This window comes from Homo sapiens, chromosome 2 (genome assembly GCF_000001405.40).
Source record: "Homo sapiens chromosome 2, GRCh38.p14 Primary Assembly".
NCBI lineage: Eukaryota > Metazoa > Chordata > Mammalia > Primates > Hominidae > Homo > Homo sapiens.
In genome coordinates, this window is record NC_000002.12 from 63825920 (window position 1) to 63843461 (window position 17542).

The 17542-nt window shown below is 39.4% G+C and overlaps 2 protein-coding genes across 14 annotated transcripts in view, besides 3 other annotated features; one reads left to right on the forward strand and one right to left on the reverse strand.

Annotated features, from left to right (window-relative positions):
- Window positions 1-14907, reverse strand: part of WDPCP (WD repeat containing planar cell polarity effector) — a 721268-nt gene extending 706361 nt beyond the window's left edge. For 4 of the 5 annotated variants that reach the window (XM_047444629.1, XM_047444631.1, XM_047444627.1 and 1 more), the window contains exon 1: window positions 14124-14907. The gene's annotated coding sequence lies outside the window, so the exon portion shown is untranslated. Of the gene's footprint in view, window positions 1-1702; window positions 1905-14123 lie in introns of those variants that run through there. The other variant, XM_047444628.1, reaches the window with a different exon arrangement.
- Window positions 14984-15163: an enhancer, noted in NCBI's record as "active region_15878". NCBI's record gives its function as "activates an Ori minimal core promoter by ATAC-STARR-seq in GM12878 lymphoblastoid cells {active_cell/tissue: GM12878}" and the evidence as "EXISTENCE:reporter gene assay evidence [ECO:0000049][PMID:35858748]".
- UGP2 (UDP-glucose pyrophosphorylase 2) overlaps window positions 15050-17542 on the forward strand; it is a 50592-nt gene continuing 48099 nt past the window's right edge. For 4 of the 9 annotated variants that reach the window (NM_001377526.1, NM_001377528.1, NM_001001521.2 and 1 more), the window contains exon 1: window positions 15050-15313. Coding sequence is in view for 1 of the 9 variants with exons in the window: in NM_006759.4 (NP_006750.3) it covers window positions 16267-16285 (19 nt within the window). In the remaining 8 variants the exon portion in view is untranslated. Of the gene's footprint in view, window positions 15314-15976; window positions 16519-16619; window positions 16681-17542 lie in introns of those variants that run through there. The other 5 variants (NM_001377529.1, NM_001377525.1, NM_001377524.1 and 2 more) reach the window with 4 other exon arrangements.
- Window positions 15624-15933: a silencer, noted in NCBI's record as "silent region_11543". NCBI's record gives its function as "represses an Ori minimal core promoter by ATAC-STARR-seq in GM12878 lymphoblastoid cells {active_cell/tissue: GM12878}" and the evidence as "EXISTENCE:reporter gene assay evidence [ECO:0000049][PMID:35858748]".
- Window positions 16034-16083: an enhancer, noted in NCBI's record as "active region_15879". NCBI's record gives its function as "activates an Ori minimal core promoter by ATAC-STARR-seq in GM12878 lymphoblastoid cells {active_cell/tissue: GM12878}" and the evidence as "EXISTENCE:reporter gene assay evidence [ECO:0000049][PMID:35858748]".

Consider the following 17542-nt stretch of genomic DNA (forward strand, 5'->3'; position numbering starts at 1 on the left):
TACATCTTTGTGTGCTCACTTAAACTTCTTGTAAATGTGGATTAAATGGAAAGTTACAGTCCTGCATTATCTTTTTTTAAAAAAATTAAAACACATCAACAAATATTTCCTGACACAAAATTATAAAAATGAGCAAAAAGCCAACATACACATGTATCTTGCTCAATTCAATGCCATTAAAAGTTCAGATGCATCAGTTTGCCAAATTCTCTGTTGAGGAAAAATAGTCACTTACGTACCAAAAATAACACATTAACAAGTATGGTGTCTTACTTCTTATAATAGGATACAGGATACTGTATCCTATTTTTTCTTTTTTGCCTACTAGGAGAGTTTTTGCTTTGCTTAATTTAATACATATCCTCAGAATCAGGGTTCAAGAGTACTGTGAAAAGGCCACTCTGCCTCGCTAGTGGGTAATATTTGGCAATATATATTAAAAGGCTCTTATCTTCTGACTTAGCACAATTCTCAGTATTCATTATGGTGACATCTTGTCACCAGAATACTGTGTCCTATTATAGGTATTTTAAGCAGTCCTTGTTAACTTTTAGTTCTTTTTTCTCTTTTATATTTATGAAAATTAATTCCACTAACAGACACACTAGTGGTGTAACTTTGAAATAAAATTTTTAAAAAGTCTGCTACTTCTTTCTTAGGCTTCTAAGTTAGTTTAATTGAGAAGTATCCTGAAGTTATCATTTGGAAATACTTACCTTACTCTTGCATAACCAAAATAGAGAAATAAATTAAATGATAATGCAGATAAGAGTGGAACTGTCATCCATAACTCCTGATTTTAAATATTTTGCATGTTCACCAAATAGCATCCCTCTTCTACTCTTTAAAAAATAAATGCTATACAGTTAAACTTAAAAAATAAATCCGTACTAACAAATATATCATTTTTCTAACTTTGAAGTTCTAATTTTGAAGTTCTCTGTAAGATTTAATTTGGAAAAATGGTCCAAAGCTAAAATTAATTTTGAGAACTACTTCTATAGACCATTGTCTTTGTCACAAATCCATTTGGTATTTATTTGACTTTTAGGTCTCCCATCTTTTGAAAAATCTTCTAAAAATGCAAATGTAATCTCTTGTGTCTCAAGACTTTCAGACTTCCTTGAATCTTTCTTCCTTGTAAGTCATCCTAGAAAGACTCCCTAGTGAACAAAATGTGCAAATTTTAAAAGCAGCTTATACTGCATATTTGTTAAAATTCCTTCAATAAACCCAAAAAAATGAGGCAAGAGTTTATTTTCTATTATACAATCCCCTGTTACCCCTGTTACTTGGCTAACAAAATTAAGCCCTCCTTCTGACCCTGTGTCATTGTATTCTTCTCAATCCTTCAGCTTTGTTTTATTAAACAAAATATGCTCAATATTTTTCTTGTTTCTTTTCTCTTTGTTTTTCTTAGAATTCTCAAAAGATGTAATATTACTATGATTCAAATAGTTCAATCAAACCAGTGCACAGGTTTTATGGTCTCCTATACATGTTGATTGCATATTGGCCTTATTAGTCACAGCCATCTTTATAGCCAGCAACATTTTAAGAAATTCACTGATCATGGATTCTATAATAATTTATTTAAGAAAGTGAGCTGAGTCTACCATCTCTAACATGATCATTTCATTTGCATAAGACAGACAATCCAACTTAAAATGGCCTAAACGAATAAAAAAAATTATTGGCTTACATAATTTAAAAGTCCATGGATAGCCTGCAGAGGCGGATCTCAGTTAAACGGTTCAAACCTTGTAATCAAAACTCTGTCTCTTCATTCTCCACTACGCTGGCTTCATTTTCAGGCTTCATGGAATTCCTAACAAGAGGGATCTTAACATGTCTAGGTAACATCACTAAGCAGCAAGGTGAGGAATCTCTAGGTCAATAGCTCTGAAGGGCAGCAGCTGTTTGTGGTCTTTTATAGCCACAGAGTTTGTCTTATCTATGGCCAGAAGATGTTGGGTGCAGTTTCATGGGGGTATGCCAAGCAGGTATGACCTAATGGCTAAAATATGCTCATTTGAGCTATATTTAAAGCAACTAGACATGCAAGAATTTGAGTCTGGCACTGACAGGCTTTGATCTACTGGTCCTAGCCTGCTGCAAAGAAGTAAACATTGGGCTAATACACAGGGGCCATCTTTAACCCATTTATGTAACAATTGAGAAATCTGTCTTTTCTCCCTGGATGTTTTTTAGATCTCTTCTTTATCTTTATTTAGGTGTGGATTTACTTTTTTTTTTTTTCATTCTTCTTGCCACTGTGTCTCCTGAATTTCCCCAGAATGCTCCCAACTCAAAGTTTTTGCATGTCCTAGCACTGCAGCTTGAAAGCATTTCTTCCAGATATATTTTTGGCTTGCTTTCCCAACTGGCTCAAACCTCTGCTCCAACTATTTCCTCAGAGAGGGCTTCCCTGAACCCAACTTCTTCAAACTTTCTATCCCTTACCCTGCTTTTTAAATAAAACTTAGTACTACTTGATATTATATGAAATATTTGTTCATCATTCTCCTTCCCCCAAGAATATATATCTATGTGGGGAGAGACCGTTTTACTCATTGCTATATACTTAGTACCTAGAACGGTGCCTAAGGCTCAAACATTTGTTGACTTAATGAAAAAATAACCTCTCCTCTATGCTTCATTTTCTCCTTTTTAGGCAGATGAGGTTTTCTGTGTAACTATGCAGATGGCCCAAATATTTTCACTGTCAGATGGAACACTACTACATACAATCATCAAGGTTGTATTCAAGATCATCCTTAGCATTGGTTTTCTTTGTGACAATGATACCTAAGATTTTTTATTTCTTTTGCTTTGTCTTCTTCCTATTCAATCCATTGCCTGGATTCTAATGTTTTAAACTCTTGCCCCTGCCCTAGCCTTCCCTCTTGTGAGCCTTAAATAATCTTTAAAAATTATTAAGTTTAACTTTTTCTATTTTGCTAAGCAATGGTAAGATTGACTATCATTTTTTTACTCAAGAAAATTGCTTAATATTTGCTTTTGTTAGAAAATATGTATATCACTTTGTGTTATAAAAGCTTATAAATTTGTATTTTTATGTATTAAAACAGAAACATTTAAAATTATTATGATAAAAGTAATACACGAGTTTAAAAACTCAAACATTATAGATGAGCAGAAAAATAAAACATAAAAATGCAGCCAAACAACTGTCTTACAATCCAATTCTACTTCCTACAGTACTTTATTGACCAAAACTCAAGTAGGAAATACATTTTACAGGTATGCAGAAAGCTGAAAAACATTTCACACGTTTTACTCATCTTTACTGTCTTTACTAGTGCAATGCAACCTGATATTTCTTTTTCCTTCTTGTCTCCTAATGTAGGTGGCAACCTACTAAATTGATTTCATTGCCACAGCTTGAAAACACTGCCCAAAAGGTGCCAACATCAAACTGTTTTTAGCTCTTCTGATAGTTACTCCATAATTTAAAATAATACGCACGCACTGCACTGCCACTGTTTGGTTCAACTCCTTGCTTTTTTAACAAATTGACTCTACATTTTGAGAATGAACAATGAGAATTTAGCTCAGTTCCAGTACTCTCCATTTTTCTTCCCTTAGTCTTCTCTTTGCAATTTTTAAAATTATATTATATTACATTCTATTTGCTACTTTATTCCTTTAAAGAATACTTAAACCTATTTCTTGATGTACTTAATTTAGAAAGTGTCTCCTGACTTTTCCATTGTGTAAGATTAAAAAATTTTATCCTTTCGCTTCCTTCCATTTCCCAAGTACCATGGGTTACACCAGTACTTTTACATTGTTGATATTTGTATTATTTGCTCTGTTAGAATAATCGTCTTGTGCATTTTGTCTTAAATTTTGTCTTTTATTTTGAAAATTAAAGATTTTTTCAGTATTACAATTTTGTACATCTTATTCACTGCAGAATCAAGTGGTATGAATGGACGTGTGGGAAGAGAAATGTAAGCCGTGTTATTAAATCTACACCTATTGAAGGAGAATGTTCTAGGTGTCAATGTCAAATGGATTTTCTTTTCTTATTATGTCCACTGATTACTCATAATAATGACACATTTTAGTTCATTTCGTCTTTGAGCCATGGCTTATACAATTTTTTTGCCTTTACTAAAGATTCTATTTCTTCTGTCTTGATGACAAGAGAAGCATCATCAGCCTATCATAAATATGTTTAAGGTTTTTAATAATGATATTTCATAAAGTAAATTTACTTTTTTCTTAAAGCCATTCTCTGAAATTTTCCAGCTTCTTGTCCTATTATTATTAATTATCTTGATGGCCTAAATATTTGTGGTCCTGAAATACCTTTTTATTGCACACCTTCAACAGATCTTTACTGGAACCTCATTACTGAGATCTCATTACTGGGATCTCATGTTCTCTCTTCAGTTCTCTTCTTATTTTGCTAGAACATTTCTTAAGCAATTTTTTCCCCTGAAATGGGTAAAAAGTCAAAAAAAGGTGAGAATATCTTTAATTTATCCTCATCCCTAAATGTTTTGTTTGTCTGTAGAATTCTAGGTTAGAATAATTTTCTCTCGGAACTATAAAGATATTGCTGTTTGAATAATCTAATAATAGTCATCTAATAATCAATGGTGCTAATAAATGACAAAATTCAATCTACTTTAATCTTCCTATCACTCTACTGCTCTTATAAGGGTAACTGACTTTTGTTTGGCTGACTCTCTTTTCTCTCCACAGTTAACTGAATTCTCATAACTGGCCATATCTGATACTCTCCTCTCTGGGCTCTATAGCACACGTTATCCTGGTTTTCTTAAATAATTGGCTATTCTTCCTTATTCTCTCTCAGTTTTCCTTTTTCTATGTGACCTCTAAATGATGGAGTTTATACCCACTTTTCTATTCTGTGTCTTCTCCCTATATGCTCTTATCCATTCTCATGGTTTAAAAAACTATATGTTGACAATTCCTAAATTTATACCAGCAGGCTAGATTTTTTTTCTGAGGTTCCGACTCACATCTTTAAATATCTTCTTGACCTCTGTCTTGTCTGTCTCCTACGAATTTCAAACTTAAAATGACCAAAATGGATCTCTATCTCTAAATCTGGATCTCCTTCACCCTTTACCACTCAAAAAATGGTCCCATGGTTAACTGTTCCCCTTGACTCTTCCTTTTCATTCCCTCCTCCTAACAACTCCCTCCTCATCTAAGCCATCAGTAATTCCTGTTATTTCCACTTTCAAAATATATCTCTAAACTCTTAAAAATGTAAATCAGGTCATGTCAGTTCTCTGTTTAAAATGATTAGATTGCTTTCCACTGCATTTAGGATAAATTTAAAACATACACAGCCAGGCCTCCAAACTTATATCTTGTCTCTCCAAACTCATTTCTTGCCTCTTGCCATTCTGCACTTATTCATTTCCTCACTCCAGTCTCCTCTCTCCTAGAATACACAATGCTCTGTTTCAGAGCCTCGGTTCTTGCCTTTCTATCTGGCATACTTGCTCCACAGGTCATTATATGGCTGAACTTTTTTCCACTTGAGACATAAAGAATATCTTTGTCAATACACACTGCCACCACATCTTTTAATGAGTGATACTATCCTTTTATATTGATGCTAAATGTATTTAACATAATTTAAATGCCCATACTAGTGATATTTGAATTGTATCCTCGTTTTTAAACATTTAAATAGTTTTTAAATGTTTAAAATGTTTTTAAACTATTAAAACACTGCATGGAATATTTGTGTGTGTATATATATATATATATAGTGAATATCAAAAGCAATATATTTAAATCATGGGTAAAAATATTTTTTAACATCAAAACCAATCTTTTTTCATTTAAAGAATCTTCAGAACTGTAGAGGAAAAGCACATCTCTAAGTTTGGGGGCATTGATTTGACAAGGAAAGTGATAAAAGGAGATCTCTTCCTCAGAAGGATTTGGAGAATACAGTTTACAGGTGAAAAATGTGTGGACTGAAAAACATAGTCCCATCTTGTGGAAAGATGAAGAGCAGTTCTGGGACTAAGCAAAGAGCAAATGAGTGTGGTTTGAGTGGTTTGAGTTTTCTTTGAGACTACAATTATGGTATGAATTAACTTTTACTATGTATCAATACACTGCACTGGATATAGCTTATCTGGGTGATTCTTCTACTAGTCTTACCTAGTTCACTCATGTGGCCAGTTTGACTCATTAGGCAGTTTAATGAGAGCTGGATAGCCTAAGATGGGCTACAACGCATCTGGCAGCCTGTTTGTCTGTACTGTTTGGTCTAGTGGGGCCTCAACTGGAAAAACTCATCTCTACTTCATGTAGCTTGTCATTTTCCATCAGGTAATAATGGCCTTCCTCATGCAGCAGTCTCAGGTCAGTATTCCAAGGCATGAGGTTGAAAGCTGAAAAGCTTCTTGAGTCACATAACATTACTTCTGCTGTATTCTATTGGTCAAAGAAAATCACCAGGCCAACACAGACTCCAGGTGTTGGGGTGGGGGGGGGAAATTCCACCTCCTAATGGGAGGAGTGACAAAGTCACATTGCAAAAGAGCAAGGGGCACAGGGATGGGAAGAATTGTGGCCATCTCTGCAAACAATCTATTACTGCAGGACTTGCTTAGAAGTGATCACTTTTGTGTTATAAAAGTACATTTATAAGTTGATTATTTGCCATCCAAAACATGTTTCCAATAGAAATAATGGGAAAACTCTAATATACACCTATACAGTACTCTACAGTTTTTAAATTCATTCATAAATATCTCATTTGATAGTTCATTGAACAAATTTCTTTTGAGTGCCTATTATGTGTCAAGCACTATGATACACTCTGGGGATACAAGAGAGACATGGTCCTTGCTCTTAAAGAGCTTATAGTCTATGAAGGGGAAATAAATATTTAATAAGTTATAATAGTAAATCAATTAATAACAATAACTTGAGATTAATCGTATGATATGGCAATACAGGGAATAATCATTAGCTGAACTTACACTCTGTGCTAACAGAGTGAGAAGATCTTTATAATAACTCAGGCCGGGCACAGTGGCTCCCACCTGTAATCCCAGCACTTTGGGAGGCCAAGGCGGGAGGATCACTTGAGGTCAGGAGTTCAGGACCGGCCTGGCCAACATGGTGAAACTCCATCTCTACTAAAAATATAAAAACTAGCCAGGTGTGGTGGCAGGCGCCTGTAATCCCAGCTACTCAAGAGACTGAGGCAGGAGAATCGCTTAAACCCGGGAGGTGGAGGTTGCAGTGAGCTGAGGCTATGCCACTGCACTCCAGCCTGGGTGACAGAGTGAGACTCCATCTCAAAAAACAAACAAACACCTCTGTATTATATAATAACTCTCTGTCTGGTGAGACAAGCTATTAGTTGTTATTCTCATCTTTAAGTGAGGAAATTAAGGTTCATAAGGTTATCTAAGTAATTTATCCAAGGTTACTCAGGTTCTAAGTGACAAAATTTGAAATAAAAAAAAAGACCTATTTTCCAAACTCTGCTTTTTCCAATGTACTCCTCTGCTTCCCTAGACACCAATATGCGAAAACAGAAAAACACCAATAAATTAAAACCAACCAACGAACCCTTACATGATGGTACATATTTTGTGGAGATTCTTTTGAAGAGACTTCAGTGTTTACAGTTTCAGAGATTGACCATGTAATATATAGCATACCTAATCTAGAATATCATCTATAATGTTGAGGAATTTTGCTTACTTCCTAACTCTTTCTAGACCCAGAATCTAGACTGTTATCACTTGGGTTCACTGGGTTGAGAAAAAGTCATTTAAAAAATAATATAAGAAGAGGTTCTTTAACATGACAATCTAAAGACAACAAAAAGGATTTTAGATGAGAATGACTAAATTGAATTTCCACTATAAGAATGAACTATAGTATGGTCAGTTTACTAAGCAATGAACTTAATTAGGAATATATACACCTTGCTTGGCCTCAAATTCTCTTTAGAATAAGAAAGAATATAAATTATAAATAAATATATGAACATGTGTAAGTGTATGCCAACATACACACACACACACACACACAAATTTCAAATAATTATCAATGTGGTTTTATCACTGTTTTATTCCTTCTCACTAGGAAACTGGTAAAACCTTCAGCCTAACATAGCTTAAGCAAAGGTCTATCTGTATTCTTTTTTCTTTCATTATCCTATTACTCCATTTGTGACTTTATCTGGTCTCCATTCCATGCTGGTCTGTGTTAGAAAGACTTACATATCAAACAGCTGAACGTCTCTCAGTCTGTCTGTGATGCTCCAAATCCAGACAGCAGTCTTCAATAAATTTCTATTACCCAAATAGTCTGTTTTTAATTTGTTGCTGTACAGATCCATGCAAAGCTAGAACTTCAGTAAGTTGCTGACCTCTTAACATTTTCTTTGTAAACTCTTGTTGTAAGTCACTGATAATTGAGAATGGCCTCTGTCTTTCTCCTAGTACTGCTCTCTGCTCCAAATTCTCATTTTTTTTTTAATATGCTGCTCAGCAGTTGTGAGAGAGGTAATATAGACCAGAATTTTCTAATTATATGTTTTGAATGACTTAACGCTGTGAAGCATATTGATTCTTTCAGGCCTGGGGCACGCAAGTTGGGAGCCCCTGGCCTGGTTGCAGTCCAGCTGCTAGCAGCATTTACCAGAGCTTCCTGGAAGGTGGCCAAGAGGAGCAGCATCTCTACAGGTAGAGTGGATGATAAAAAAACATCTAATAATTCCACAGGCCTCTTATCCAAGGTGAAGAGTGGTATGTTCAGTAGCTGGTTCCTGAAGTAGATGTCCAGATAATGGAACACCTACCTCCTTGGCTGTGCTCAGCACATTGCAGCCAACATGGAGCTCCTGGATGGTGCAGCTCTGGTGGCTCTGAAACTCTGATTTCGTAGACATCGGATATTTTTCGTTAGCAGCTGAAGTGCCCTTTTTGTGGCATCCAAAGTAGTTTTGGTCTGACTGATCCAACAATGCATGCATGTTTTATAAATTAAAGCTTCATCATTATTTTAAAGTACTTTCTAGAAAAAAGTACTGCTATTCATTATTGGCATTTTGGTACTATCTGGATTTTTTTTTTAAGCTGTGTATTCTTACTGAAATTTAAAAAAAAAATTGAAGTGCAATTTAAAATGGCACCAGAAGCCAGGCGTCATGGCTCAAACTTGTAATCCCAGCACTTTGGGAGGCCGAGGTGGGCGGATCACTTGAGGTCAGGAGTTTGAGACCAGCCTGGCCAACATGGTGAAACCCTGTCTCTACCAAAAAAAATACAAAAATTAGCCAGGTGAGGTGGCAGGCCCCTGTAATCCCAGCTACTTGGGAGACTGAGGCAGGAGAATTGCTTGAACCTGGGAGGCAGAGGTTGCAGTGAGCAGAGACTGCACCACTTCACTCCAGCCTGGGTGACAGAGCGAGACTCCATCTCAAAAAAAAAAAAAAAAAAAAAAAGAAGAAAACAGTATTACTAGAGAACTTCAGTCATTAAGAGATTACTTGTCCCGGATAAAGGCCTGACCATTTGCACTCCTTTCTGTTTTGATGGAGAGGGGTAGCAAATCAACCTCCAGAAACCGAAGGGAGAAAATTTTCCTCCCTGTGGGTTTTTGGAGTCAGATAGCTTCAGTTCAGATCCTGGTTCTGTCACATAGTAGCTATGTGATCTAAAAAAAAAAATTAAATAAAAAAAATAATAAAATGGCACCAGAACTTAACATTAGTATTTCATATTTTTTCCTGTAGTTTTTTCTCTAAATATGACATACCTCCTCTTTTTCATTAGAGAGAAAAAGTAGTTACCTTTTATTCTCTAATCATATTATCCATCTAATGACATAGAATTATTCAATTATTTAATCTTCACCCAAAAAGCAGTCCTGAGAATCTTCTCTTTATTTTATTTTTATTTTTTGAGACAAAGTCTTGTTCTGTAGCCCAGGCTGGAGTGCAGTGGCGTGACCTCAGCTCACTGCAAACTCCGCCTCCCATGTTCAAGTGAGTTTTGTGCCTTAGCCTCCCAAGTAGCTAGGATTACAGGCGCCTGCCACCAAGCCCAGCTAATTTTTGTATTTTAGTAGAGAAGGGGGTTTAATCACGTTGGCCAGGCTGCTCTCAAACTCCTGACCTCAGATGATCCACCAGCTTTGGCCTCCCAAAGTGCTGGAATTACAGCTGTGAGCCATTGCACCCAGCTGAGAATCTTCTCTTTAATATTTCGTTAGGTTGGTGGGTGTGAAATGCTTAAAATACATTCCCTGAGACTAAGTTAGGAAACAGAAGTTCTTTATCCTTTCCTTTCCAGTGGTGGCACTAGCAGGAAATTTAATAAACTAGACCAGAGGCAGAGATGTTTAGAAAACCATCAAAAGTCATTTGATGGAATGCACAACAGGGAATCTTTCATATAGTTGAAAGAGGCAGAAAAAATAGAATTAAACTGAATGCTTTTCTCTTTCACAACTCTTCTCTGTGAGGATTTGAAAGTCAATAAGTAACCTGAACTTCTATACATATATCACTACAGTAAATCAAAATAATATTTATTCTATGAGTTTGGTAAAAGATGGTTTCTTATTAGTTTTTTTATCTTTTCAAATTATAATCACATAACAATCTACGCTTGTTAAAAACCCTGAGAGAATATAGGGAGTTTATTTATGTTTTTTCCTGGGCCATTCACTAAAGGGAATGGCTCTATTGCCTCTATCATCAAAGGGGCGGACACAATTTGGAGATACAGTTTTGCACATGAGAGAAATACAACAACCTCATGGGTGTCACCATTTCTCACCAACACTCTCCTCTGGGGAACATGCAGAACAGACTAAACAGAAAACAAAATAGTAAGGACCTGCTTCCTTCAACTTTCAAAGGAGAATCTAGAGGGGAATTATTGATAAACATGAACAAGATAATGTATGTTTTGATTAAACATGCTTGGGAGCCTAATGACTTTTAAAACCACTTAGAAGATTGGTTTATGAACCTTTAATTAACTATCCATAATGTGAACTAACTTCATTTTTTAAAGCATCTCAGTTATTTGAAATAATTGCTACTGCTCTGATGTAAAAGTTATATAACTCTCAAATATAACTTAAAAATCATACTGTGAACAAATGGAAGGATATGTCATAATTTAAATTCACAACTTGTTTCAGCAAACTTCCTGGTTCATTAACAGGGTGTTGGCAACAGGAAAGAATGAAGTCTTTCTCTTCCTCAAGTATTTGGAAACCCATTCATTTTTAGACAACTCATTCATTAGTAGTCCATCTCATAGATATAATTTGATATCTTTTTCCAGTTAAGCCCGTTTGGTTACCTTTTTACTCAAGTGAAATGCCCTATTGTTAGATGTAGTCAGTTACTGGCAACTGCTGACTGAGTAACAGTAGCCCCTTTTTCCTCTCTCATGTGGGTGGCCTAGGATTTAGATGGGTACAGATGGGAGCCAATATTGAGTATGGGCAACAGTCCAGTGGATAACTGTTGCCTGGTCTCTTGGCTAAACACTTTGGGCATGACACAGAAATTTTTATGTCTAGTACATGTTCGCTCAAACTACACTGCTTTATTTTCTTGAATGTAGAGGATAGGCAAGAAAAAATAAAGGACCACACACATTGATGATCTGTATACTTATTTCATACCTTTAACAATTCCTACACCACTCCTTATTAGATAATGCTCATGGGTAGTTAACACAGCTTATTGTAAAGTCATCAGGGCATTTGCTGCTATTATTCTTATAATTTGGCCCAGGTTCATCTCCTAGGTGGAAATAACTGAAACTTAAAAAACGTTATCTCTAAATATAAACTTTTTATGTTTTATATGGCTCTCAAAGAGCAGAGAGTAGGGGCGGGCCTGTGGCTTACGCCTGTAATTCCAGCACTTGAGGAGTCTGAGGCAGGAGGATTACCTGAGGTCAGGAGTTTGAGACAAGCCTGGCCAACACGCCGAAACCCTGTCTCTACTAAAAATACAAAAACTAGCCAGGTGGGGACCTGTAATCCTGGCTACTCAGGAGGCTGAGGCAGGAGAATCCAGCTACTCAGGAGGTGGAGGTTGCATTGAGCCGAGATCGCACCACTGCACTCCAGCCTGGGTGACAGAGCGAAACTCTATCTCAAAGAAAAAAAAAAAGAGTGGAGAGTAGGATACAACACTGTGAGTTAAAATGATTTAGTGGCACTAAACTGGTCATTCAATATATACTTATGGAATGTTCGCTATGTACCAGACACTGTGCCAAGCATTAAATCTAAAAAGGCACCAAAAAAGATGCTTAGAAATAGGACCACAGACATGGTTTCCTTGCTGTTGATAGAGAGCTCCTGTCTAAAGCAAAGGAAAAAGATATGGTGAGGTTGTTATACATCCTAGGATATGGGACTGGGTAAACCAAACTGAGTTTCCTCAAGTTTCTATGGGAAAGTAGAAAGAAGGAAGAAATTATAGGCAGAATTTGTATCATCCGTGGATGGTCGCATATGGAACCAGACAAAAACTGGCTTCCAGGCTTTCTTTCTAATTCACAATCCATTTCACTCCAGCTCCTTAACCCTGTACACACTCTTATCAGCCCCCATCTTCATTCTTTGGATCCCCCCACCCCAGGTTTCTGCAAAGGTAAAATCTATAAATCTACCGATGTTACAGATTTCTAATGATACAGATTATCAACATCATGCACCTTGAAGGGATATTCCAGAGTAGTATCTTATGAAAAAAAGGATTAAAGATACACATACTTGCCCAGAGAAAGCAATTTTTCAATGACTGAAATATATAAAGGGAAATAGGTAACTGCTTTCTAAGCATGTCTTTGCTCCATGGCCATTAAGAACTCCACCTCTTTCTTTCCTATCTCCACAGGATTTGTCAAGTGAGGTTGTTCTTAGTGGCTCTGAGAGAGTGGGAAGCTCGCTTACAAAGTGTTTGTGGGTTCAAAATTTAAATTTATACCGATGTATAAAGAAATTTCATTTTATAAGTACTGTTTGGAAATATTTGGAAACTAAGCTTCTAGAGTGCTACTTCTCTAAGAACTAGTGACTGAGTAGTTACAGATGTAGCCCCTGAAGATGGGTAGTTAGTTACTTTTTGGAGAGTTCTTGAGGCAGCAAGTGTACAACAACCTTTGGTACTATATCTCAATATTCAATCACTCATAAATCAAGATGCCATTCTTAGATATTAACAAATGCTCTTGCTGCAATTAAAACCCATTTCCTTTTTAATCTTCCATGAAGGCAGAAAATACAGTAACTGATCATCGTTTCTTATAATAAACCTTGTATAATTAAAAACTCGCCAGGCGCGGTGGCTCACGCCTGTAATCCCAGCACTTTGGGAGGCTGAGGCAGGCGGATCACAAGGTCAGGGGTTTGAGACCAGCCTGGCCAACATGGCGAAACCCCGCCTCTACTAAAAATACAAACATTAGCCAGGTGCGGTGGCACGAGCCTGCGGCCCCAGCTACTCGAGAGGCTAAGGCAGGAGAATCGCTTGAACCCGGGAGGCGGAGGTTGCAGTGAGCCTAGACTGTGCCATTGCACTCCAGCCTGGGCGACAGAGCAAGACTCCGTCTCAAAACAAAAACAAAAACAAAACAACAACAACAAATAAATCTCTTCATTGTCCTTCATCTTTTGCAGGCTAAGTAACCCTACGTGGCCCAAATCTTTCGGTAGTATTTTATTTTGGTACTAATGCTCATTGGTAAAGACTGCTTTTTCAGTGCTGGAACAATTTTTGTACTGTATACAAAGGATGTAGAGATTTTGTTAAGATCTTCAGTCTCCAAATGCTGTTATTAAACTGTAGACATCTGGATTTTAGACACTTGTTTTGTCTGGGGAAAATTCGTTTTACGGCCGAGAGGTTTTTGAGTGTAATCTTTTTGGATTTCATGTAAGAAACACAGTACCAATGGTTGTCATTCTCTAGTATAACAATTTTTCACTAGCCTTTTCTGTGTTGTTTGTTCTAATAACATTTCCATATAAAGACGTAGAACCAAAAAATCAAAGTTCCTTTGTTTAGACAATGAGTCATTAAAAAATTCTCACTTTACCTTGGTTGATTAGTGCTGCCCAAAGCCTCAAACTCTTCTGTAATTACCGTACTTGTTTATTGAAGGCACTTAAGAGAAGGCGCTGGCAAATCATCTGCCCTGGTGCGGGCTATTTGAGTCTTAAAGTGGAAATGCAAAGTCTGAAATGCACTCGCTGCCAGGCACACTGAGTCTTAGATGCAGGTGGGGTTGACGGTACCAGGTGTGATTTGACAAGCCGTGGGCTGGCCCTGTAACAGTCCCCAGGCTAGTGTCAAGTTCCGTGTAACATCCTCTTTCCTTGAGGACTTCAAGAATCTACCAAAAGAAAAGCATCTCTTGAGGAGTAACTTAGGCCAGTTCCACGTTGAAGAGAAAAGTAAACGCCTATCACAGCAGCTCTACAGGATTAGGAACCGGGGCAATGGGGATGGTGGTGGTTCCGGTGAGGGAGCCTTCACTTGTCACTTTCTTCAATGCCTAAACCCTCCTTTTGTTAGCTGGCCCACACAGGCCAATGCCTACTCCCTAACGCATCCTCACCCTCCCCCAACCAGATGTGATGAGGGGAGCAAGCGTCCCCTGAGAAGCGTCTGGGCTCCCTCGGGGCAGCTGCGGTGGGGAGCTCCGGCTCTATCCGCAGGGCTTTCTTTAGTCCCTAGTCAGCGGGAATATTTTTACTGATTGGAAAAATAACCAGTCGTGCTCAGGTGCTCTCCCTCACTGAGATATACTGGCGAGGCTTCCCTGGCCGCAACGCCGCCGTAAGTGCTGCTCCCACGCGCGGTATCCCCGCGTACTGCTCAGTGCCCAACTCCGACGGGCTCTCAAGTGCCGCAACGCCCCGCCCCTTGCCACCTCCACACGTCTCATTGGCCAGAGCCTGCGTCCGCCTCGGCTCCTGACTGGCGGCTGCGCCTGTCGGTCCGTGCGGCAGGGACATTTCCGCATTGAAGGGGCTGCTCCGAATGGAGGGGGAGGGGAGGTGTTTAGGAGAAAGTAGGGGCTGTGGGTGTCGGGAGCCGGCTGACGGGTGGACAAGGGGGGGTTAGCAGCTGGGCTGCGACCGTTAGGGAGGGGCTCAAGGTGTGCATGTGTGAGGGAAGAGAGAGAGAGAGAAGGGCGCCTCAGAGGTGACTTTCAGCCTGCGAGCCTTCTTCCCGGGGCGCCATAAACGCCCCCAATTTCCCAGCTGCTAAAGGAAGAGGAAGGTGGGTCTCGCTGGCGGCTTGAGGAGGGGCGGGGTTGGGCTTCCGGCGACCCCCTGGATGAGTGTGTTTCCCGCTCTCGCTGGCCCGCTGTGTGGTCTCGGAGGCGGAATTTGGGCTTCTGAGGAGCGCAGGGCAGGCGGGGCGAGAATATGTACGGGAAGGGTCGGTGCCCTCCCTTGGGACTCCCGCGCCGGTGCACGGGTCTGCCTCTAGCCGGTGACCCCTTAGTGTCCGCTGCGGGGGAGGGGCAGCGTAGCCTTCGGCCCCTACCGAGAAAAAGCTGCGGCCGGGTTTCACTGCTCGAGGCGGGAAGGCGGGGAGCTGAGGCCCCGACCGGTCGGCCAGCCAGAGCGTGGAATTGGTAGCGCCTCCTAGTCCCAGGATGTTTATGGCTGGTGAAAATGGTTGCACTGCCCCCGCTGGCCGGCCTCGCCCGCCTCCCCGACCCCTGCTTGGGCGGGAGCCGCTGTTAACCGGGGTTTTCGGGGGAGGCGTTTGGGGCCTGGACGGCGGCGCGGGGAGGGGGCAGCTAGGGGCGCGGCCTGCCAGTGCCTCCTGCAGTACAGCCCTGGAGGGCGTGGGGACTTGGGGGCGGTGAAATAGCCGCTGTAGGTCCGCCTCTTTCATTGAAGAAATTTAAGTTCGTGTGGTTTTACCTTTTCCGGGAGTCTCCAGCTGGCCCTCATTTGTGTCCGGAGCTCAGGAGTTCCCAAACCGACTCAGTCGCACCAAGTTTCCGTCTTTTGGAATTGGGGAAGGAGTTTCTTTCTTTCTTTTCTTTTTTCTTGAGCCAGTTTTAATCGCTTTGAATAAATACTCCCTTAAGTAGTTAAATATAGGAGGAGAAAGAATACATCGGTTGTTAAAGCAGGAGAGGAAGAGAGACCTGCCCTGTAGCGTGACTCCTCTAGAAAAAAAAAAAAAAAGCCGGAGTATTTTACTAAGCCCCTAAAATGTCGAGATTTGTACAAGGTAAGAAATGCTGCTGCTTATATCCCGAGTTGCTTCAGGCAAATTTGGGTACTGACAGTGGAGAGGTTGGTGGGTGGTTTGGAAGTGGAAATGTTCATTTGAGATAACATTTGCGAAACCCTTTTCGTTGAATTGTCATCTGAGCTGCCTTGAGCTGCTGGGTTGACGTTCCAGACGCGTATAATTTATGCTCCTGTACCCTGCTGGGTTTAGTTTTGCCTCCCTGAAATCAGGTTAGTAGTACCGTCGCTTTCCTGGATAGTGGCTGTAAGTGATAAAACAGGATTTTTGGCTGCTAATTAATCCTTGTTCTCTTTTCCTGGTCTGTGTCAAGGTACCTGTGCGTGCACGCAGACGGGAAGGGCTGGGGAAGCGGGAGGACTGAGAAAAGCCGGGTGGGTTTTGCCGGGACTGTTGGGGAAGCTTTAGTGTTCTCCGCTTCTACTTCGTTTGTGTGTACGTGGTTTGCGTCTCAGATTCACTTATTGCGAAACTGGGAGTAGCCCGAAGAAGCTGGAGGTCATTTCAGCTGGAGAAATGACTTTGCTGCATTGCTGTGTTTATTTTTTCCTTTTTTGAACTATGAAAAGATGATTAAGGTTCCTTTGAAGTTTGAAAACTGCTCTCTAAATTCCACATGTGTATTTAAAAAGGGTTAGGGAATGCCTCAACTGAGATTATCAGTAACGTGTATATGAATGCATGTGTGTACGGTGTACTCACTGAAATTGGTGCTGGCATAAACCTTTGACACCAGTTTGTAGCATGAGATTTGCCTTCTGGTATGCAAGTAAACTCTTTCCTTGTAGACTCCAGTGTGTGAAAGCTTCAGCCATCTTGATGAACACACAGCTAGTAAAGTTCACAAACACTTATTATGCTTCCTGATAAATGTAGGTGTACTTTTGGAAAAAAAAAGTTGTGTCAGTAATGGCCATCATTTGACCCTGGGAATAAAAATGCCCTACTGAGTTCTACATCGCTTTATTAACTCTTCTTTAAATTTTGTGTAGTAGATTAAAGTAAGAGAATTCGACTGCCTGTGTTATTATCGAAACAGATCGAACGCTATGCTTGCCTTTAGCGCTAAGCTCAGAAATGTCACTTGTTATTAGACTTTCAAATTCATGTTATACCTTATATGTGGTAAGAGATGCTTATGTTCTGATTGAGTAAATGTCTTATTCAAGAATAGAAAGGCAGAACTGTTAGAAACGTACTGGTTTTGTAATAACAATATTCAGTTACCATAAAGGC